This window comes from Homo sapiens, chromosome 4, assembly GCF_000001405.40.
Source record: "Homo sapiens chromosome 4, GRCh38.p14 Primary Assembly".
Lineage (NCBI taxonomy): Eukaryota > Metazoa > Chordata > Mammalia > Primates > Hominidae > Homo > Homo sapiens.
The window spans coordinates 23,123,625-23,147,688 of record NC_000004.12 but is presented as its reverse complement, the minus strand read 5'-3'; the positions used below and the strand labels follow the sequence as shown (position 1 = coordinate 23,147,688).

At 38.4% G+C, this 24,064-nt stretch overlaps 1 long non-coding RNA gene across 2 annotated transcripts in view; it reads right to left on the bottom strand.

The window, feature by feature from the left end:
- LOC105374524 (uncharacterized) overlaps positions 1-24,064 on the bottom strand; it is a 507,306-nt gene that overhangs the window by 357,149 nt on the left and 126,093 nt on the right. The gene's annotated exons all lie outside the window — the stretch shown is intronic.

The following is a 24,064-nucleotide window of genomic DNA, read 5'->3' as shown; positions in this document are numbered from 1 at the left end:
TAGAAGAAAAATAACCCATACATTTAGCAGCCAGCAACATAAGTGAACCTGTGGGAATATAAATATTAGAAAACTGCATATCTAATTGATTACAAAGAACTTACCTATCTGAAAGCATGGTTAACTACATACCAGAAAAGCTTTTCTGCTATAAAACATCTAGGAATATTGAATGATAGTAATTATATTGGAAAACATATAGCTGAGTGTGCAAGTAAACAGTGGTTTATGATTTTATGATTCTAAAAAGACAAAATTATAAAGAATGCTGGAAATAAGGAAACAAGGGGACAATGTGATGGAGCCATACCTACATCTTGACAACATGCATGAAACTTCCACAACTCAAGAGACCTGTGTTTTATAACATTAGGCCCACTAAAGGTGAGTTTAGAATTAGAAGACAAGCTTTTCAAAACTCATGAGAGTTTAGTGAAAGCGTGGGCCATTAAAAAAGGTCTGCCTGAAAGCAATTATAAAGAAAGCATGTATTTTAGCCCAGATTTAGGTAAAAACAAAAGTTTCTCAGAGAATTTGTAAAAATCAGGCTATTTCTTAAGTGTGTCTGAAATTGTTATTTGTACTATGTATATGATCTGACAAACTACAAGCTAAAAACGATGATTTCAAAATCATCTCAACTTAGTAGAATCCTGGAGAGCCAGGAAGAAGCAAACATAAATATTCTCTAAAGAAATGAATCCCAAGCTTTGCAGAAGTTCTAAAGATAAAGCCCTACCATTCGAATAAGATTCCATAATCCAAAACTAACATAGGGAAACAGGCCACTAAGAGTAAAAGAATAAAGAAGCAATAGAATTCGGCTTCCCAGAGACTTCTGATATGACATTCTTAGACACAAGGTTTTTGTTGTTCTGTTTTGTTTTTGAGACAGGGTTTCACCCTCTTGCCCAGCCTGAAGTGCAGTGGCGAGATTAAGGCTCACTGCAATCTCAACCTCCTGGGCTCAAGTGATCCTCCCACTTCAGCCTCCTGAGTACCTGGGACCACAGGTATGCACCACTATACCTAATTTTTATTTTTTTAAATTTTTTTGCAGAGTGGGGTTCTCACTGTTACCCAGACTGGTCTCTGACTCTGGGGCTCAAGCAATCCTCCCACCTCAGCCTCCCAAAATGTTGGGATTACAGACGTAAGCCACTGTGCCTTGTCTGATACAAAATGTATGCATAAGCTTTAAATAAATAAAAAAGTATAATTGAAATACAACAGAAAAATCAGACTATCAGAAACAATCCAAAGTTTTTAAAAGTAGAAATTTTCAAACTAAAAAATATAGTCATTGAAATAAAAAACTGAACAAAGGCACTAAATATTACAACTGAAGAGAATTGATATGCTGGGAAAAAATCTGAAAAAAAATTACCTAATATTCAGTACAAAGAAGCAGAGGTGTCAGTATGAAATACAGACTTCAAAATATACATACATATTATATATAAAACAATATATATTAAATTATATTTATTATATATATGGAGTTCTAGAAGGAGAAAATAGAATGAGACAGAGACAGTATTTGAAGAGTTAATAACTCTGAAATGCTTAGAATTGGGGAAAAACTGTATTCCTCAGTATGGGAGACTAGTCAGTTGCTCTTGGCATATAGGTAAACTATTGTTCCCAGCCCTCCTTGCATTTAGATGAGTAATTTGACTGGTTCTCTGCAACAGAATGGAAATGAAAGAGATGGTCACTTTCTGACTGATATAGTTAAGAGTGGATGTGCCTCCCACATTTTCATCTGTCTCTCTCTCACCTCTCCATCCTTCAGAAAATATTACAAGTTAATGACCCGAGGGCAAACTTAAAGAAAACTGGGTCATTGCTTACAGGACAAAAGCCCAGGAAAGCCACTAATCAGGAGCATCTGCATTGAAGTTCACATGAGCAAGGCCATAAAACTTTTAGCATGTTAAAACAATGACTTTGTGGATTATTTGTTATAGAAGCTAGAATTCATTACCTGGACCAATATGCTGAGACTCAGAAAACCCAGTGAATTTAAAGCATGATAAATAAGCAGTATTTATTTACACCAGACTAATATAATAAGAGTGGAACAAAAGTAACGAACAATCTTAATCAGAAACCGAATTCTATATATATTTCTGTTTTAATCCATTCAGTCTCCTGTAATAGAATACCATACACTGGGGGCTTATAAACAATACAAATGTATTTCTAGTAGTTCTAAAGGCTGGGATGTCCATGATTAAGGCAGCTGCAGTTTCAGTGTTCAGTAAGGAACTGCTTTCTGGTTCTTCTCACTGTGCCCTCATATAGTTGAAGGAGGGGCAAGGGAGCTCTCCAGGGTCTCTTTTATAAGGGCACTAATCCCATTCAAGGTCTCTATGCTCATGTCCTAGTCACCTCCCAAACGCCCTACACCTCCTATTATCACTGTGTTGAAGGTTATATTTCAACATATGAATTTGGGGGGGAAGAGACACACAAATTCTGTGTATACGACATTCCTCCTCTATATCTTTCAAATTAGCCTACATTTTTCTATCTTTATCACAAAAACCTGGATCAAAGTATCGATGATCCTTTTCATGAAACACTGAAATAGCCTTACAACTGACCTACCCCTCCTTTACTTCTTCCCCCACCCAGCAGAAAGTATGATCCTTAACAAGTGGAAATCTATTATTGCCATATTTCTGCTGTAAAACCTCAATGGAATTACACTTCTCCTGGAATATGGTTCAGACTTTATAACCTTTGAAGCTTTTGTAAACATGCCCTTCTGCCTACCTTACCAGTTTCATCTTTTGCTATTCTTCCTATCTCCAGCCATATCAGCCTGTGTTACTTCCTTTAATAGGTCATTCTCACATTTCAGGGTTTCTAATTCTGTTTATTTACTTGGAGTAGTAATTTTCTTTTCACCTAGATATATTTTGTTCATCCTTCAGGTCTCAATTCAGATGCTTGTTCACCAGAGAAGTTGCCCCAAAAAACAGATTAATTTTAGTTATTGAGTTCCCACTTTTGAAACATTCAGAATTCCCCCACAGTAGATACGTTTTATGTCTACCTTTGAAGCATTTATCACAGTAGTAATTAGTGATTTGTTCCTATTCTAAGGTTGAGCCTTAATTCATGTCTTAGGGATAGAGTTTACACACTTCTTGACATACTGAATATAGTTGCTAGTACACAGTAGATGCTCACTAAATAGTCCTAGAATAAAATTAAATAAGTGGATGAATAAATGAACAAATGAACCTAAAGTTTCAAAAATGTGTCTGCTTATTTCAAAGATAATTTTTGGGCAACAAACTGGTATTTAATCTTGGTCTTTATAAGAAGAATCATCAAATCTGAGTATTTGAAGAAATAAAATCAAAGTTGTTACCACTCATTATATACTCTGATGTATTTTTAATGAACCTCAGGAACACAAAATTGTGTTAATCACAGACATTGGTTTACTGTGGATTGCAATAATTTGTATGTTCACAGACCTTATTTGTTATTTATTCATTAACCTATTTACTGGTTTGTGCATTTGTTCATTGATTCATCAATTTACACACTCATTTATTCATACAGTTGATGTGGCATTATAATGAAAACCTGGGAATACACCGTCCAACCTAAGAATTTGAATACCTCCCATTCCTTCTGACTATCTTGCCCCATGCTATGAGGTAGGGACTATTCTGGATCTTGTATTTACCTTTTTTGTTTTCTAAAATTCTATTATTATATACATAACTATACCTCAAATATACATCATTTTCTTGTGATTCTTAAATTTAATTACAATAAAGGGTATCATCATCTGGCATGTTTTCTTCTGAGACATTTTTATTGCTCAATATCACATTATTAAGATTCATTCATAGTTTTGCATGTAGCTGAGTTTATTGTGCTGTTGTTTAATATTTTGTTATTTAAACATACCACAAATTATTTATCCTTTCCTGTTAGTGGGCCTTGATTATATTTCTAGTCTTTCACTTTTTGAGCAGTGCTTCTTATGTATATTCTTGTTCATGACTTCTAAGGTAAATGTAAAAGTATTTCTCTTGGGTGTATATGTACGAGTGGAACTACTGGGCCATAAAAGAATGTCACTTGTTTTCCAACATGTCTTTATGAGCAATGTGGATGACTTCCTGTTGATTTATAATTTCTCTAACATTTGGTATTATCACACTTTTGAAATTTTCCCAATGAAAATGTTAAAAACATTATTTTATGGTCTTGATTTATAGTTTGCTTTCTAGTACCATAAAATATCAAAAATTGAGATGACTATTTTTTTAGAGTGCTTTTGAAATGTTCAAGAATTCATTAAATATTCACCTAGCAGGCTTTGTTCTTTGGGCAAGAAACAGAACCACTCATTTTTTCAACTGACATAATTTAAGCGCCAGGTTGCATATCGAAAATACACTAGGGAACAAGATGAGCATGGTTGCTACTGTCTTGGGGCAAGAAAGACTCTAATTGTCAACTATTAACGTGGTAAGTGACATGAAAATGCCTAGGAAGTAACAGAGTGAATAACAGAAAGACATATGCTGGTCAGAAGAGGGGAGACATGTAGAGAATGCTTCCTGTAGGAAGTGCCCCAAAGAGCTTAGGCCTGAATTATGCGTAATTTTGCCCAAAAGAGGGGAGATCAAGAAAATAATGGATTAGGTCTTCCCAATAGAGGATGCAGCATATAAAAAAATTGCCTTAGACTTCTGCCTATGTTTTTTCCCTCTCAAGGCTTAAATATAATTCTAGGATTCAAGATAGAAAGTAATGCCTCAAACAACCATTTTTATATTTTACCAATCTTCCTTTCCCCCAATCAGGGCTCTGTTGGCCAAAAAAAAAAAAAAAAGCCCCAATAAATATCAGCTTCAGATGACTGATACTACACACATCAGTTTATCAACCACAAACATATGTAGCCTCCAGCTGGGACTTACTGTCACAACAAAAACATAGTAGTTATTGAACATTTCTAAGAAAGTAATGCAAACTTCAGAAAACAACTTGGGGAGGCGGATCTTGCATAGGATTGGTTCTTACATGAGAGCAAATGTAACATGGTTGGTGTATTAATTAAATGAAAGGGAAATAATGAAAAGGGTAGTTTTCTCTACTTGGTATTACACTTCAATATTTCTGATCTCAAATGTGTTCTTTCTTTTCTCTGGCTGTAAGTTTATGATTTTTCATTTTTGAGTTGTCTTCAAGTCAATATGCTGAGAACTTTTATAGAAAGTTTTTTCTTTGGTCCTAACATCACACAGCATCAATCAATAATCAATAAAAATTTTCTTGTGAGTCCACTAGATGTTTATAACTATTCTGCAGTTTGAAATAAATCAAACATAAAATGCCATACTTCAGCCCCAAAATATTTATCTTGTTGAGTGTGCATCAATATATAAATGTATATCTTTTTATTTAAATATTTTACATACTATATAAATATATACATAATTATAAATTAATACATGTACTTTTAAAATTTATGTTATTTATATATAATTTAACTTTGTCTTCTGAGGCCTTAACTTAGAAAATTGAATTTGTTCTGTCCTATTATAAAACCTATGCATGGCCTTCTAATATTCTTTGTGAAAATTATTTTACAATAACAAACTTGTTCTCTTTTAATCCTTGGGACAAACAGTAATTTCTATTTATTTAAGTCTTAGTTTTCTGACTATTAATGTGCAAAGGGTCATATTGTGAAATGAAGGCTTAACAAATATCCTGTTTGGAATATCAATGAGTTACTTTTAGTCATCAAAAAAAGAAAATGCAAGGATGCTTTTAAAAAGCAAATACTAAACTGCCACAGAACTCATTTGGAGAAAAAGGAATTCAAGAACATTCATTTGAAACTATCTAGTTTACAGCTTGTTTTAAGGCACAACATGATAGTTATACATCTGGAAGGGACCTTAGAGCTCCTCAAATAATAATGGTCCTTTGCTTTCACCCCACTCCACAGATAAGGGAAGTGAGGCCAGGAAAATCAGTACTTATTAGAAGTAATACAGCAATTTTGCTGCAAAGTTATGCATAGGATCTGTGGCTTTTGATACTCTACTGATTTGCTCTTTTCACTGCACAAAGGTTTATTCTAAGTAAATTTTTCCTACAGAAATGTTTATGGCCATGGTAAAGCTGTTAAAGTTAAATTAGTTGGGTGGCATAGGCATTCTTTGCTAGAAATTTCCTTGAAGTGGCATATATCTCTATTCTACCACTACCACCACCACCCTTCCCCCCAGACACATACAAACTCATACATAAAAACCCAAATACACATAGATAACGATATACTTGAAAATGAGATAGTCTCTTACTCTTTGTGATCCCATAGGAAAAACATAGTTCTTTGCACATAATTAAACCGAAATTTTTAGGCACATTTTAACATCTCTAAAGTCTCCATTGTACCTGTTTTATATTGATAGCTTGCCTTTACACTCCTCATTTTCATCCTTTCTCCTATTTGGTGTCTAGATGGGTGGCTGTCTGATGTGGGAAAAAGACTTAAGAATTTGGAGTCTGATAAAACTGGATTAAAATGTTCACTTGAGTTTTATTACATATGCTATTATGGGGAAATTAATATTCTAACATTAAACATTCAGGTAGTGACCCCAGTTCTCAAGTAGATGACTGCTAGATCGGTGCCCTGTCCCTATGCTCTGGGGCCTTGTGTTCACGTGCATACCAACCTGAATTCCATTCATAGCATTTTCATCTTTTTGCTAAGGAATTGTGTAACACAGCAGACTGGACATGTCCCCAAATTATCTTCTACCCACCAACACTCCCACCCTATTAACAGCCCCTCAACAGTGACTAATGGGTATTGGTGTATAAATAACCCAGCTCCCTCACCCTTCAATTGGAACAATTCTGAGGCATATCTTCAAAACTGATTCCCAGAGTTCCTTAGCAGATTTATGTACCAGTTACCAATAGTGGTAACTTACATGAGGACACACACTTCATCGGCTTTCTTTTCTCCTCTGACTCATTTCTCTACTCTCCTACTAGAGGTTCCTGAACTCGGCTACATTATACACTATTTGCGTTTGAACCCTTGTGTCAGAATCTGCTTCTGAGTGAACTCAAATGAAGACAGGGACAGACAAGTAAGCAGGCCATTACAAAATCACGTGTTATGTGCTCTAAGAAAGTTAAGAATGATACATTATAAAAACGCCCAATAGAGATCATGTGGGACTTTGTTTGAAAAGGGTTTTGTGAAGTAGGTGGTATTTGAGTTAACTTTTTAAACATATTAGGAGGCTATTTTGATAAGAAGAAGGTAGATGGCTCCAGGAAAGGGGATTTGCAAGTAGAAGGTCTTAGAAGCAAAATACAGTATATTATCATGATTAAGAAACTGAGAGCAATTAAGTGTGACTATGATATGGGAGTGAGCATCAGGGACAAATGAGAAGAAAGGCTAAAGTGGTAGTCAAGGGACAGATCAGAAAGACCTTGTGAGCTAAGCCAGACAGAAGTCATCTTTTGCAGGAGTAATAAAGAGGCATTGTAGAAAGTTAAGAAGAGCTGTGATATGGTCAGATTTTTGTTTCAGGAAAATTCAAATGTGATAGCAGCAGGGAGAGTAGATTTCAGGGATCAAGATAAATTCTGGGAGACCCATTAGAAGCTTATGGCAGTAATCCAGGTAAGAAATGTTGTGAATCTGAATTAAGTAAATAGTAGAGAAAATAGAAAAGAGAGGGCAGATCTCAGAAATATTCAATGGGTCAAATTAACAGTACTTTTTGAGTGATGAATATGAAGGGTAGTCGTAAAGGTGGAGCTTGAGAATGGCTTTGGGTGTGTGGCATGGGGAGGAAGCCAGCTGATCGCCATGCTGCTCTTGGAGATGGCAGTCACTCAGGGAAAAGAAAGTTCAGTAGGTCAAATGGTGACTTCCGTTTTGGCTATGTTGAGGGCCGCAAGCCTATGAAAATTCACATGGAACCAGAGGTCTGACTTAGGAGGAAAATAAGTGAGGTCCAAAGATGGAGAAGTAGAAGTCACCTTCACATAAGAAAGTGATGCTGTAAGAGTGGATGCAGTCAGCCTTAGAGAAAATGTAGCACGGACGTGCGTATATAACACCGGGAAATGCCAACACTTAAGGAGTGAACAGAGAAAAAAAGAATGCCAATAGGAGACTGAAAGATTTGCAAGAGGAGAGATGGCAACCATGTGGCAAAAGGACCACCAAAACTCATTCTTGTGCACACAGCATACAAAGGGTTTATCATAGACCTCTTCCTCATTATCCTCCAATTTAGCATCAGAATCTTCCTCAACGAGGCACACCTGGAGTGCCAAGCATTGAACTATGTCAAAGATTTGTCATGTGGACTAAATAAGATAAATATGTTGAGCATTTAGTGTAATTCTCCACAAATTGGTAAGACCCTAATAAAAGATACATACCCAAGGATAGGGGTGGATGCATATAATTGTGTCTCAGGGGATAGAGGAGGAAGCTGAGGGAATTATCTTCTGAAAGTGTTTATTTTCTCTGTAGTAGGTTTCTCAGTCCATTAAGATTGCTATAGCAAACTACCACAGATTTGGTGGCTTATAAATGACAGAAATTTACTTATCACAGTTTTGGAGGCTAGAAGTCTGAAATCAGGGTGCCAGTGTGGTTGGGTTATCCACACAGGGTACCTGTGTGGCTGGGCTATATTAAGTAATCCATTTCTTATCTGGATTACTGCCATAAGCTTCTAATGGGTCTCTCAGCATTTATCTTGATCCCTGCAATCCATTCTCCCCACTGCTGTCAAATTTGAATTTTCCTGAAACAAAAATCTGATCATATCACAGCTCTCCTTAACTTTCTACGATGCCTCTTTATTGCTCTTGCAAAAGAGGACTTCTCTTTGTCTTAGCTCACTAGGTCTTTCTGATCTGTCCGTTGCCTACCTCTTCAGTCTTTCTTCTCATATTTCCCTCATACTACACTTCTGGTTTGTGACTACTGACTCCTCATTGTAACTTCACGTGGTGGAAAGAGGGCTAGGGAGCAGTCTGGGACCTCTTTTATAAGGGCCATAGTCTCATTTTTTAGGACTAATGACCCAAATTACCTCCAAAAGGCTTCACCTTCCCACCATCATATTGTGGAGTGAGATTTTACCACAATTTCTTCTGGGGGGACACAAACATTCAGTCCTTTATGGTAGACATCCAGGCCATGTGAGAGAGGAGCAAAGGAAATGATAGGGTAGAAGGAGGAGAATATGGGAAACAGCTTCAGATAAGTATTGTAAGAAATGGGTACAGGAACTGACTGACAAAGGACCACAGAAGAACTGTGGAGAAATGCTAAGGAGCTGGGTGACGCTGGAGATCATAAATGACTGATCCTAAATTAAAAGCTATTGCTTAGAGCATAGTCTTAATTTTTTTTTCTATATGGAATATGAAGAAAAACTGTTAGGAAAAATGAATACAAAAGGTAAAATAATGCTCATTGATAAGATAATCATTATGCTTGTTGTATTATATAAATTATACAAACTTCATGGAAACTATTTGAATAGATATTATTTCTATTTATTCAGATGAAGAAGCTGAGGCTAAAGGTTTTTCATAAATCATCTAAGATCACATTTGTAGCAATTGGCGTAGCTGGGATGGAGTCCTGGGCAGACTAGAGCTAACCTTATGCTATTGGCAGACACATACTTATTATACCAAATCTTCATTTATACTGCTGGTAATGGTTTACTATCAGCCTTTGTTGTACTGGGGTGTTTTCCCCTTCATCAGTTTTGGAGTATTTGATCTACTTCTATTGAGTTTGGTTTGAATGCAAAAATTAAAATAAATGCTTTTGTCTTTGTCAGCAGAGAGGAATATTCCAAAGTGAAGGACACTTTGTTATTCACAATTATGATTCTTTCCTCTGTTCTCTCTCTCCCTTTCCCTTCCACTCTCTGTACACACACATGTGATTCTTATTATTCACAGTAGTTGTGTTCTATGAAGTCTCCACCAACACTGAGCTAATGGGCACTGAACTTTCCTAAGGGAAAGGAAAGGTCAGGTTCCTGTGAGCCTCTGGTCACATTTCAATCAATCGACCAATACATAATCATGTTTTAAAGTCATCTTTTTAAATATTATTGTTGATTCATTAACATTGAACTTGCAAGCTTATCTGGAACATGTATTTTCTCTGTAAGGCACATCCCAGCCTTTGGCACATAGGAACACTAGACAGCAATTAAGCATGACACTTAAGGGCCATTTTAAAACACCAACAAAAAAGCACAAATAAAAAAAAAGGCACTAAATGGATCACAAAAAGACCCTTGTTTACAGTCAGAGCTGAAATAAGAAGGCAGAGTGTTGCTATGTCAGCCTCAGCTGGGTATTTGCATATGGTCAGATCAAAATTTTCCCACCCCATGCATGCCTAGGAATGACCAACAATCACCTGAAATATGGATTTTGTGGTTTCAAATAAATTTTAACAAGTAGACAAATTTGCAAATACAGGATCTGTGAATAATGATTGACTCTGTGTGTGTGTGTGTGTGTGTGTGTGTGTGTGTGTGTGTGTGTGTGAGATGGAAGTAAATTTTATCCCAGACACCAGCTAGTATTTCTTACTGTGTCAGAAACTGTTCCTTGACACAAACTGAAAGGACTGTGCATTGATGGAGAGTTTTATATAAAGTCTCCTCAAGAAGGATCCTTTAAAAAACTTGGAAACTACTGAAAACAACCTCTAACATATGAATTTCTCTTAAAAAAATTATATATATATATATATATGCCTCCTTTGAAATACCTCTTTTCTGCTCATTTTTATTTCTTTGCATCTCTTCCATCAGCAACATGTCAAAATGATGTCTACATTCTGTGCACATAAAGTCAATGTGCAACATTGGACTGGAAATAACTTGAAATTATTTGCTTAAAGCATTTCTGCTTTTGCTAGAACACTAGAAACTAGTTTTTGACTTTTACTTTTTAAACAATGATTGTCAGGACATGCTAATATATATTTTTGGCCAATCTTGTGGCTTATGACACTTCTATTCCTTCAATATTTTGCCTGCTACAGTCAGACATTTCACTATCCCTGGAGAACGCAGTAGCAAATAGGAAATGAACTGTGCAGCTGAAGAGAATTTGTCAGCAGTACATTCCTTTCTCCTTAAAAAACAAAGTAGAGAATGTTGGCTATTTATGCCCAGGCCTATTGTTTTTCTAATTAATCATGTTTTGTGTAAAAATTGCAATGAATGTATTTCTGCAAGACAACTGTAGTAACCATAAATGTTTGAGGTTCTCAGTGAACTTTCTCCTCAGATACTCAGAATTACCATACTGTCCCCCAGAAGTTCTATTTTCATCTATCATTCTGCAGCCAAATTGACATCTTTTGTTACAACTTGAATACAACTATTTCTTTTCCCATCCATAGCCTAAATAATTTCATAATAACAAGATTGTACTTCCATTAGGACTTGATAGTTAAAACCTCTTTTCTATCACTCTGTCCTATAGCTAGTTTCACTGAATATGAATATTATGGTAAAGGCCACTCCAAGTATATTTTTGGAGTCCACAGTATCATTGTAAGTTATCAGCACCAGTCTGTCCCCCTCCCCAGACAATGAGATCTTATTCATTAGGAACAATTCACCCCTCTAGTGGAAGAATCTGGGTATTGCAGCTTTAGCTCCAACAAATAGCTAAGCTTCAAGGCTGTAAGAGCATCTGCAGATTTTTAGAAAATTATTATTACAAGATTCCTTCTTTTTATGCTGGTTTGTTATTAAATATAACCCAATAGAGAAATCTCTTTAAAATGTTAATTTGCTTTCTTATGTTTATACACAGGGAAATGCTTAGAGCTATAAAAAGGCTGTACTAACACTGACTAATAGATTTTTGTTTACACTCATCTCCATTTTTCCCTTGTTTAAAGTCAAATAGAAATTGATTGGAAAAATGGTTTTTGGTATACTTTACAGAGTTAAACAATAATATGGGATGGTTTTTTTCCATATGTTTTCTATAAGCAGTAAGATTATTTTAAAATCAGCACTTTCGTACCAAAGTGGAAAACCATTCAGCCAAACTGAATTACAATGGGAAAACGATGATGTTACTACTCATGAATACTGGTAGCTATTGAGAGAGTAATGTGAAAATTCTGATTTCAGTTCTGCTACTGAGATGTCCTTGTCAGTATAAACGTTGGTAGTAAAAAATGCTTTCAAGATTTACTAGTCCAGAATGTCCCAAGAGGTGAAATAAATTCTCCAAGTTCACACAGCTAGTTAGTGGCCAAGCATAAGCCCATTTCTCCCGATTCTGAAACCCATAACTCTTTCTGGCACACAATCCTCATCGTTACAGCACAAGTCTGAATCCAGAGTGAATCAATTTGAATCACGCCTTGCTATGCACCACCTTGAAGATCACGGACAGCATCTTTCACCACTGTGCACCTCCCTATTCTCATCTGTACAGTGAGGGCAAGAGAGATGCCCCCTCAGAGATGTTTCAGCGAAGATGAAAATGAGATGCAGGAAAATTACTTAGTGCAGGACAAGATGCATAATAAGCACTCGGCGTGAGTTGACAATCTCTCCTATTAGTATTATTACCACTATGAGCTTTTTTTCTCTGTTTGGGGGCATTCTAAGAAGAGAATTTCTTTTCACTCCCTGGAGTAAATGTGTATGTAAATTAAGGGAAATTTAAGTCTTTGTTTTTTATTCAATTACTCATAAGTATTTCGGTGCTATAAGAGCTTTACTAATCTTACCCTTCATTTATGCAGTGATATAAGGGTGATAACAACTTTTTTAAAAGAGACTTTTAATTTTTTTTAAAGAGCATCATATGCATTGCCTCTATTAAGCCAGATTCATAAAATAATTCTAGCATAATTTAAATACTATATTAGAAACCAAAGATTATAAAGTGCAAATGAGATTTTCTTTTTTTTTTGGCTGCTGACATCATAACAGTTTTTACAGAGCGATTATCATCTCAATGGATATGGATGTCAAGCAGTCATTATCCTCAGATCATAACGAGGTGGACCATTAGTGCCTCCTTTGGAGACCTTATGGTCTAAGATGTTAATGAGCCTTTGGGGAACCCTAAATCCTTGGATGGTTGGCAGGGTACTCTAGACCATAACAGAACCTTCTTTGCAATGACAATGGAACCTGTCAATTTCTATTAAGGAGCTTCTTAATTCCCCAATCATTAAGATAGTGGAAGGACTTATTATACTAGCCTATAATTAAGGAAGCTTTCAGCCATAAATCCCTTCTGTTAAGTCCTTCCCTCTATTCAACATGGCATAAGTAAAGGGTAAGGCTCCCACAAGAGAAACTACGGAGACAACGTTGATCTGAGGGAAATCTTGCAGGATGAAGATTCTCCCTGGTTTCCTCCTATATCCCTTCAGCCCCTATTCACTTTCTCCCAAAGACACAGCATAAGTGAGGCCTCTTAAGTTAAAACTGGAGGTCTCCAACAACTGGTCTGGCAGGCATCTCTTGTCACGATTGACATTTTGATTAGACTGTGTTCGAGTATTTATGCTAGGCATTATGACAGAGAAACACAAGTTCAAAGCACCATCGTTGCCCATAAATAATTTACAGTCTTATTAGAAAGAGTGAATGATAAAGGTGCTATGATGGCATCAGAATGAAAGGCAACAACGCAGAGAGAAACAGACAATACTAGGGTGCTTTCCCCAACGATTGCTATAAAGAGTATATGCTACAAATTAATGAGAAAATAGGTGTGGAATTAGATGCTTAATGAATGTTATATCCTTTCTTATTTAGAAGAGGATAAGTTCAATGCGAACTGCTCACCATAGACTCATTCCTTTATACCTCAGTTTCTCAATAATTAAATGACTAGGATTAATACATCCTGCTAGAAAATATTACCAGTGGCCAGGCACAGTGGCTCACACCTGTAATCCCAGCACTTTGGGAGGCCGAGGTGGGCAGATCACTTGAGGTCAGGAGTTCAAGACCAGCCTGGCCAACATGGTGAAACCCCATCTCTACTAAAAATACAAAAATCAGCCAGGCGTGGTGGTAGGTGCCTATAGTTCCAGCTACTCCAGAGGCTGTGGCATGAGAATCACTCAAACCCAGGAGGCGAAGGTTGCAGTGACCTGAGATTGTACCACTGCACTCCAGCCTGGGTGACAGAGTGAGACTCTGGCTCGAAAAAGAAAAGAAAAGAAAAAAGAAAATATTACTAAAGGACTATTTCATGTGTTGTTATTTTCTATGAAAGAAAATAATCCATAGCATGCTCAAGTGATAGGTACTATAGAAATATTCACATAGGAAAACATACAGGCTTGATTACAAGTGAGGTATACTATTTTAACTCAAAACTTATTGCTTGAAAAAAGCAGAAAGCCAACTAGGAAGAGAAATTATGTGCTGCCATAAAAATCAAAAATGAAAGAATCCAACCCATTAACCTTGGATGTACAGAAACTTGAAGTTCCCTCATTCTTTTTGATAATCCTGGATTTTTCATCTAAATTTCATTCGACCTCGAGCAGACCTGCATTTGGCTTATTACTGAAATTTCATTGCTGAAATTTTCCAATGTAAAAAGTTTTCTAATCAGAAGTTAAATTTATACAAAATCTCCACTGTATTGAAGAAATAAATGTCTGCTTCTGCATTTTGTGCTTTGGGAATATGAGTTAGTTTTATTGTGGTGTTTCCAAATCAAGTCTCCAATTCTAACAGGGAAAAAAATCACATAGGACTCCATCTCTGTGCCAAAGCCCAGAATGAATTGAAATTTTATGAAGGGGCCTGAGCTTTAAGTTGTTAATAAGAAACTCCTGAGTTTCAGTTTCTCTCATCTTAGGTAATTGGGGCTTTAAGTGCATACAGAAAACTCGGGTCTCATATGATTGATACTTGGGACGTCCTTCCTTGTTCTGTTTAAGTTCCTTGGGAGCAATTCATCTCATTTTGTTTGTTTCTTTTTGCTTATAATCACTTCATATTTGACTATCAACTCGGGGAAATCTGAGTAGCTATACTAAGCCTAAAGATAGGTGGAGCAGGCAAGCTGCTTTGAATTGTTTCCAGCTTCCAGGGGCATTTCACTAGCATCTCCCCATTCATCCATCACACTTACTCCTCTTAATCCTCAAACAAGAAAGGCCTTTAAAATACTGACCACTCTCCACTGTGCTAACATTCCCTGGGAAAACACACAGTTTTCTTGTCCCAAAGATAGTTAAAATAAAATATAAAAAGCAAGGATAGGCTGGGCGCCGTAGCTCACGCCTGTAATCCCAGCACTTTGGAAGGCTGAGGCAGGCAGATCACCAGGTCAGGGGTTTGAGACCAGCCTGGCCAACATGGTGAAATCCCATCTCTACTAAAGATACAAAAAATTAGCCAGGCATGGTGGCGCACGCCTGTAATCCCAGTTACTCAGGAGGCTGAGGCAGGAGAATCGCTTGAACCCGGGAGACACAGGTTGCGGTGAGCCAGGCAGGAGAATCGCTTGAACCCAGGAGGCACAGGTTGCGGTGAGCCGAGATGGCTCGACTGCACTCCAGCCTGGGCGACAGGGTGAGACTCGGTCTCAAAAAAAAAAAAAAAAAAAGCAAGAATAACAGCAAATCGAGAGCAAGGCACACAGCCTGTTGCTCCCTATCTGTTTCTTGGAGACACGACCACACACACAAACCCCATATATGGTTTTTTTCCCTCCCTCTACTTACTCTCCCAAAGGGACAGCTGTGTTGTGAAAGGCTTTTATTTAGAAAGTCAGAGAGGAGTTGAGAGTTCCATTGGCTGTCTCAATAACCCCCAGGTTTACACAAGCTCTTACTCAGGAACTGAGCATCTTCTTAAAAGATAGCTTTGTGGCTGGGTGCGGTGGCTCATGCCTGTAATCCCAGCACTTTGGGAGACCGAGACAGGTGGATCACTTGAGGTCAAGAGTTTGAAACCAGCCTGGCCAACATGATGAAACCCCATCTCTACTAACAACACAACAATTTTCCAAGCATGGTGGTACAAGCTTGTAATCCCAGCTACACAGGAGGCTGAGGCAGGAGAATCGCTCGAACCAGGAGGTGGAGGTTGCAGTGAGTCAAGATCACACCACTGCACTCCAGCCTGGGCAACAGAGTGAGACTCTGTATTAAAAAAAAAAAAAAAAAAAAAAACAACTTTGAGTCTAACAATTACAAAAGCAACCTTTATCTACATTATCCAAGAAGGCACACTCTTGTCTCAATTTTCAAATGGGGGTGATGTCTGTTTATAAGAAGTATGTACCAGAGCTGTAGAAAAAAGATTTGACATTAGTCCCAGATCAAATTAGAGACTACAGAGAAAAAATAAGAATATAAGCCTTTGAAGGGCAGACGTAAATTGGATAAGCTACAATATTGCAAAACTAACAAAAATAAATTTCGAGACAAGAATAAAAAAGCAGAATGCATCCACTCTAAGTTGTTGCTGAAGGAAGAGAGAGAGAAACCTGCATCAGCTGCTTTTTGCTTAAACAGGAAGGCACTACCTGGCCACCAGTGGGAGACCATGTCAATTACTGGTAATATGTACATCTTCCTCTGGGGGGTGTCCAGTTATACTAATAAGAGAAGATGTTGAGCCAGGAACTTTGACTTAAATGTGGGAAGAAAGTAACAAATAGAAGTTGATCTGCAGCCCAAGTGCTTTTCAACTTGGGTGTGAAGGAGGTTGTTTCCTGGTCTACTAATTAATACTCTAAATAGCACTACCCAATAGACATTTCTGCAGTAGTGGAACTATTCTATATCTGCTCAGTCTAATATAATCACTACTAGCCCAACCAGCCATTGAGCTCATGAATCCTGGCTCATGCAAATGAGGAAATAAAATTAATTTAATTATAATTAATTTAACCTTAATTTTAATTAATTTACATTTAAATAGCCACCAATGTCTAGTGGCTTCCATACTGGAAGGCACAACTGTAGCAGGTAAGCATCATTACAAAGGCTTTCCCTGGACCACATGGTGTGTGTCTTGATGACCTCTATACCTGCCCTTAGAAGCTGTGGGACCTTTAACAGTTTACTTAACCTCTCAGAGCCTCAGATGTTTTATCCGTAAAATGACTAAAATCATACTTAGTTCCTGAGGTTGTAAGGATTACATAGGATGTAAATGGGTTGATGTCTGGTACCTCACACAGTATACCAACACCTCTGCCATACCTGAGTCTGGCTCTAATGTTTGCTCCTTCTCTTTATATTGTGGTTTTAAGTATGTCTTGCAATTGTTTTCTTTCTAGTTGGATACGATACACTGGGTAAAGGGAATTGTGGTAAATATGCCTTTAGCAGTGTGGTGGGCAGCAAATGCATTATATAGTCCTATGATCAGATCTTAGTCTTTTGATGAATCTGTACCTCTGGACATTTTTGCATGTGCTTCTTAGTCCCACACTAAGCTCTTAAGACAGGATACCTAGAGTGGGCTGGAGTTGAGTATCTCCATTCCCCCAGGTCAGTTAGGCTCTATAAAACTCCAATAGTTTAGGCTCTGGTAAAACAGTTTTTTTTAATGACAGGCCTTGTTAAGAAGAATCAAGTGCTCTAGTGTATTTCAAAATGACTACATTTTCCCTTCCTCTGCTGGAAACATGAGAGGATTTTTCTCTGATATTCACTATGAGAACCTGGTTTAGCCCTTGAAGGTTAAGTGCAGATAACTGTGGGCCATGAGTGCGAGTGGGTCCCCTGGAGTTTTTTACTCCCAGGCTTGTTTACTCTTGAAACTGCCTTTGCAAAGATTATATCAGTGAGAAAATTATGGCAGTAAAAGAGATCTGATCTAACCCACACCCCATCTTTCCTTTCCCTTAATTATTCCTGGGCTTTTGTGCAGAGATAAGTTTGGAAGACATTTAGGTCATAGTTTAAATGATAATAGCCCTTCCCCAAAACTCAACCACCTTTGTAAACTAATGAGAGACCATCTGACCAGGGGAAGGAGAGAAGCCTGAAGTCGTAAGCTGTGGACTGGTCTCTCTTGTGAAAGAAGCAGCTTCACTATTGGAGACTGGCCTTTTGAGATGTCTTTTCAGGTTTTCTGCATGTCTGACCCCCATAGCTCCACCTGGACTGTTGGCTCTACCACTCCTGTAACCCCATCCAGGAGTGATTCAGCTCAAGAGGACAGCTTCAGCCTCCTACAATTTTATCTCCACCCCAAACAATCAGCAGCAAGCACCCATTAGCTGGCCACCTCCACCCCTTCCCCAAACTGCCTTTGGAAAACTAATCTACCAACCTAAGATGTGACTGATTTGAGTAATAATTCCGTCTTCCATGTGGCACAGCCGCCTTTGTGTCAATTAAACTTTCTTTACTGCAATGCCATGATCTTTATTTGTGCAGTGGGCAGGAAGAACCCCTCAGGCACTTGCACTCTGAGCCTCCAGCAATTTCTCCATTATGGTTCAGATTTTCTTTATTTGGCTCTGGTTCCCAAAGAGGTTCCTGCTCTGGTAAGTTGTGACTTTCTGTGTTCATCTGTCTGTCTCTCCAATTTTGGGGAACAATGATTGCCCTGTGACCTGACTTCTCTGATAATTTTTAAGAATAATTTTTTATTGTTTGGCTTGTTCAGCTTTCTATTTGTTGTTAGGACAGAGTGATAATTGCCAAGTTTCTTACAAGCTAGACAGGGAGTAGGAAGCTCACATAGTATTATTAAACTGGATAATGAAAAACAGGTGATGGAGAGAGGCGATGGAGAGAAGAGCAGGGTCAATGGATAAATGGTTATATGGAAAAGCAGAGAAAAAGGAGGGGAAGGGAAAGGAAAAGAGGAAGGGGAGCGAAAAGAAGAAAAAGAATGCAAAAAGGAGGAAGAGGAGAATGTGACCTATCACAGTGTCTGGCTCATATTAGGCATTTAATAAATGTTCACTTCAGTCCATTTTTCTTGATGATTCATCACAAGACAAAAATGTGTCCCTCTCTCTGCCCACCGTGCCATAAAACCTCCTGGCTCCTTCCACTGACACCACCTTCCTCGGACTGTGTTCAGCACCTTAGGTGAAGAATCAATCGTTCTAAATCACAGAAAAGCTGAGCATCAGATGGAGAAGATACAATAATGGGCTTAAAGACTTTTAATGTCCCCTCTAACCCAAAGGTCTTCTAAGGTGATTAGGTGACTGCACGATTGGTGGGATTAATCAACCCAGACAGCTGTCATCACTTTAACATAGTATCACCATGGATCTCATCTGCGGTTTTCACCAATTTAGACCTCAAAAGAATATCATGTTAAGCTATTGCTGATCAATAGTATCTTGCATAAATCCTATTATCAGAATGTATTCATTAATTCCTTCACTTGACAAATAGGTATTGAGTGCTCACTCTATGCCAAATAGTACTTTAGGTACTGGGACATCATAGCGGGCCAAGGCCTCCCTTAGCTATTATCTTCACTAAGCTCAGGTGTGAGAAGGAAGTGCCGAGTGGCTTATAGGACAAACCAAAAACAGAGCAAGGCATACATAGGAAACTCTGGAAAATCCACCAGAACATGAAGAATAGGACGAAGAACTACAAAGTCAAAATCAAATCTCAAACACATGACTGGTAGCTCCTGAAAACAGTGTGTAAGTTTTATAGCTGAATTTAAGGATGGTACTGCATGCATCCAAAAAGCTAAAGAGAATTTGCTTTCAGTAAAATTTGCAAAGCAGAGTTAACAGTAACTCAGCATTCCAGATACAGACAAAATTGTCATATTTTCAGCCTAAGGACAACTCTCAAAAACAAAGGTGACATGCCAGCACCCTGATTTTGTTTTCTAATGCCCTTCTCCAGCTTAAGAAGTGGGCTAATTCTAGGGCTGGCACAGGGAATATACAAATGTGCCTGGAACACCTTGTTAGGCCAGTAAGTAAGGATTCAAAAAACAAAAGAATGGAGCAGGTCAAAGGCACACAAGAAGCAACTGAAAAAGCTCCCTCATTGAACAATATGGAATATTCTGGGCAAGAAAATAAATAATATAGTATTGGATTATAATCCAAAGTATAAAATGAATATCCAGGTGTCCAAATTAATGTAAGTAAATGGTTGACTAAATGAATAAATGGGAGAGAAGAGGCAAATCTCCCATACTGACACATTCCACATACTTTATGTAGATACATCACTTTCAGGGACTAATGTTTGTGGTTTATTTTTATTGTTTACTTATTTTTATTATTCCTCTTTTTGTTCTTTGTGATGTTGTGAACTAAGGACTCTGCATTGACTCATTCTCACACTGCTAATAAAGACATGCCCAAGACTGGATGATTTGTAAAGAAAAAGAGTTTTAATGGACTCACGGTTTCACATGGCTGGGGAAGCCTCATAATCATGGCAGAATGCGAAGGAGGAGCAAAGGCACACCTTCCCTGGAAGCAGGGAAAAGAGCGTGTGTGGGGGAACTGCCCTTTATAAAACCATCAGATCTCTTGAGACTTATTCACCATCGCGAGAACAGCACAGGAAAAACCTGACCCCCATGATTCAATTACCTCCAGCTGGGCCCCTTCCACCACACATGGGGATTATGGGAACAACAATTCAAGATGAGATTTGGATAGTTACACAGCTAAACCATATCAGACTCGGTAGGCTGTTTCTTTGTTTCTTTTAAAATTAGGGGAGAGTGAGGAAGATGAGGTAAAAGTTAACATGAAATGTTATCTAAGACCCATTCAATTAAATGGATTAGTGTATGGAGAGGGATTAGAAAAATGTTGATGAAATAGTGATATCAAAATGTTATAATCCACCAAAGGTTAATGTTGCATCAGAATACTTCAACTATTAAAATGGGATTGTCATTGGTGTGGTCTTTTCCAGCAAGGAAACACACTGACTTGGGAAAATTAGTTATGTTTTATTTGGCTGTGATGCCACTATTATTTCTACAATAGCAGAAACATCTATGTGAGAAATTCCCTCCAAGAGTGCAAAACTCTTTCAAACTAAACTTCATTAATCTCCACATCATCTGGGTTAGAGGACAAGCTCTGTTCTTTAGAGTTGCTGTCGCGAGACTCAACTTGATGAACTTGTTAGGGTTGTGTGGCAAAGCCCAGATGGGCTTCAGAGCCTCACAAAATCTGATGTCTGAATACTGGGCAACTTCCTAAGCTGTTTCATCCAAAGAATTCTCACAAGAGATAAAAACTGCTTTCATCTGAATGTTGCCCTGGGAAAACTGTGACCCCTGTGTTTCCCTAATGAGTCTGGCATATAGAGAGGGGTTAAATGAGTTGGTCCCAGAATGAGTCCATGGTGCTGGAAGGAAATAAGCATCTGACCCCAGAGCCTCCTCCAGGGATCTTTTTAAAATGAACAGCCAAATTCAGGGAAGAGCACAACTATGTTCTCCTACCACCTGCTTCAACATTATCAATGACTCCCATGATGCCCTCAGGATGAAACACAAAGCTTCCGGACATATAAGAAAGTCCATTCATGACCTAGAGCTACCTCTCCAGACTCATCTTCCGACCCCACTTCACAGCCTTCACACCAGAGAACTAAGCTCCTTGTGCTTCCAAGCCCTGATCCATGCAGACCTTTTTGCAAGTCGTCGTCGCTGCCTGAAATGGATCCATCTCGACCTTCCCCTGCACTTCCATACAGCCCACTTGGTAGGCCCTTTACCATTCAAAACTCCCATCAGAAACTCATACCACCAACTAGAGTGACCAATCACTCTGGTTTGCATGAGACTGAGAGGTTTCCTAGAACTTACAATTTCAGTTCTAAAACCAGAAAAATTCCCAACAAGCCTGGATGAGTTGGCCACCCTGCTCCATCCCTCAGTTACAAAATAACTCCCTCTCTCCTCTAATGCTCCTCCACTTTTTATTTTTAATGTTACAAAGAGTGGCTCACTGCCCTGCATTTATTCACGTCTTTCCTATTACAGTGTAAACTCGGAAGACAGAGACCTTGTTTCATCTATCTTGGCAGCCCCAGGCAGGGTTTCTCCCTAGCAGCACATTAGAATCACCTGAGAAACTCTGGCAAGGGTGGGGTGGGGGGGGCGGTGTTTTTGTTTGTTTGTTTTTTAAATACCAAGGTTCAGGTCCCCTTCCCCCAGAGATTCTGATTTAACTGATCAAAGTTGAGGCCTGGGCATGGGTTATTTTTTGATGCTTAACCAAGTGATTCTAATGTGCAGTCAATGTTGCTAACACCTGCTCTAGGGTAATGATTCTCAGCTGGGAGTATTGTGCGCATCAGAACTACGCATATCACCCTAGGCCCAACTATCCACAGATACCAATTTAATTCATCTGGAATGCGGTTCAGGCAGCGGTCGTTTTCAGCATCAGGTGATTTTAATTCATGGCTATAGTTAATCACTGTTTAAATATGTATGCATATTTAAACTAAATTTAAACTAAATTCCAGGCCATCTTACCGCCCTTACCTATTGCCAGGCCTCTAAGTATTAATAAGTGCTGATCATAAACAGACTTTACTATCTAATATAACTAATTCTTTCCGTGTATGGCTCAGGCCACCATAGAAGCTTGTTTTCCTCAAAAGTCTTTTCAAGCCATCTCCTTCACACCCACACCATCAAAGGACACCCTTGTCTCTCTTTAGATCCTCACTTATTACTCAGCCCTTCTCAAAGTCCTTCTCTCAATTTCTTGGATACTCCTCTCACATTCATGGTTTTATTTTTTATTTTTTTGAGACCGAGTTTCGCTCTTGTTGCCCAGGCTGGAGTGCAGTGGTGCGATCTCAGCTCACTGCAACCTCCGCCTCCCGGGTTCAAGCGATTCTCCTGCCTCAGCCTTCCTGAGTAGCGGGGATTACAGGCATGCACCACCATGCCTAGCTAATTATGTATTTTTAGTAGAGACTGGGTTTCTCCATGTTGGTCAGACTGGTCTCGAACTCCCAACCTCAGATGATCCGCCCGCCTTGGCCTCCCGAAGTGCTGGGATTACAGGCGTGAGCCACTGCGCCTGACCTTCAAGGTTTTATTTTTCTTCCTTGCCACCATGCAGCAATGGGATGAAATAAGAGTTTTTCAACTATGTTATGTCATCTTTCTGACTCTGTCCAGGTGTCCTACACTGTTCCCTGGTGACCAAGGCAGACCACAAACTCAATGGGCTTTTTTCTCCCTCTAAATAAACTAATTCCCCAGCTCAGGAGCTTTTCATTGTATCAGAAGGGATTCACTTGCCGAGTTTTCAATGACCTGGTTCCTTCACGACACTAAGGTACCAGCTCAAATACCACCCCATCCAAGAGGTCTCTCCTGTCCACCCAATCCAGAGTGCCTTCTTCATGTCATCATTCTCTATCCTGCCAGTCTTTTTTAAGTTCGTCACATCCCTTATCATTTTCTGAAATTATCATGTTTTGTTATTTACTTCAGTTGTTTTATCTGACTCCCTCTTACATAACGCAAGCTCCACCAGGAAGAAGAATTTGCACATCTTGTTTCCTGATGTATTCATCAACAGCACTTATAACAATACCTGACCAACATTTACCAAAATGAAATAAATACCTATATATGCATAGACAGCTTAGGAACCAGTTATGTAAGCAACATCGCTGAGTCTGGAGCTACCGACTTATCCACAAAATGTAGCTACTAAGAGCATAATAATTCAGACTCCTAAATGAGAAAATGTATGTCTGACTAGAAAAAATTTATGTCAACATATTCAAAACAGTGTGATTTCACAAAAATAGTGCACTCTGACATTAGTCATTGGATGGCATTCCATCTATCACTTAATATATCATCCAGGAAACTTTATTCAGTGAGCACCACCATTAGCGTCACCTGGGAGCTTGTTAGAAATGGAAATGTGTGGGCTCTACCTCAAACCTACTGAATCAGTCTCTGGAGATGAGTCCCAGGAAATTGTTTCACCAGGCTCTTCTTGTGCTTCTTAGGTATACAACACTTAG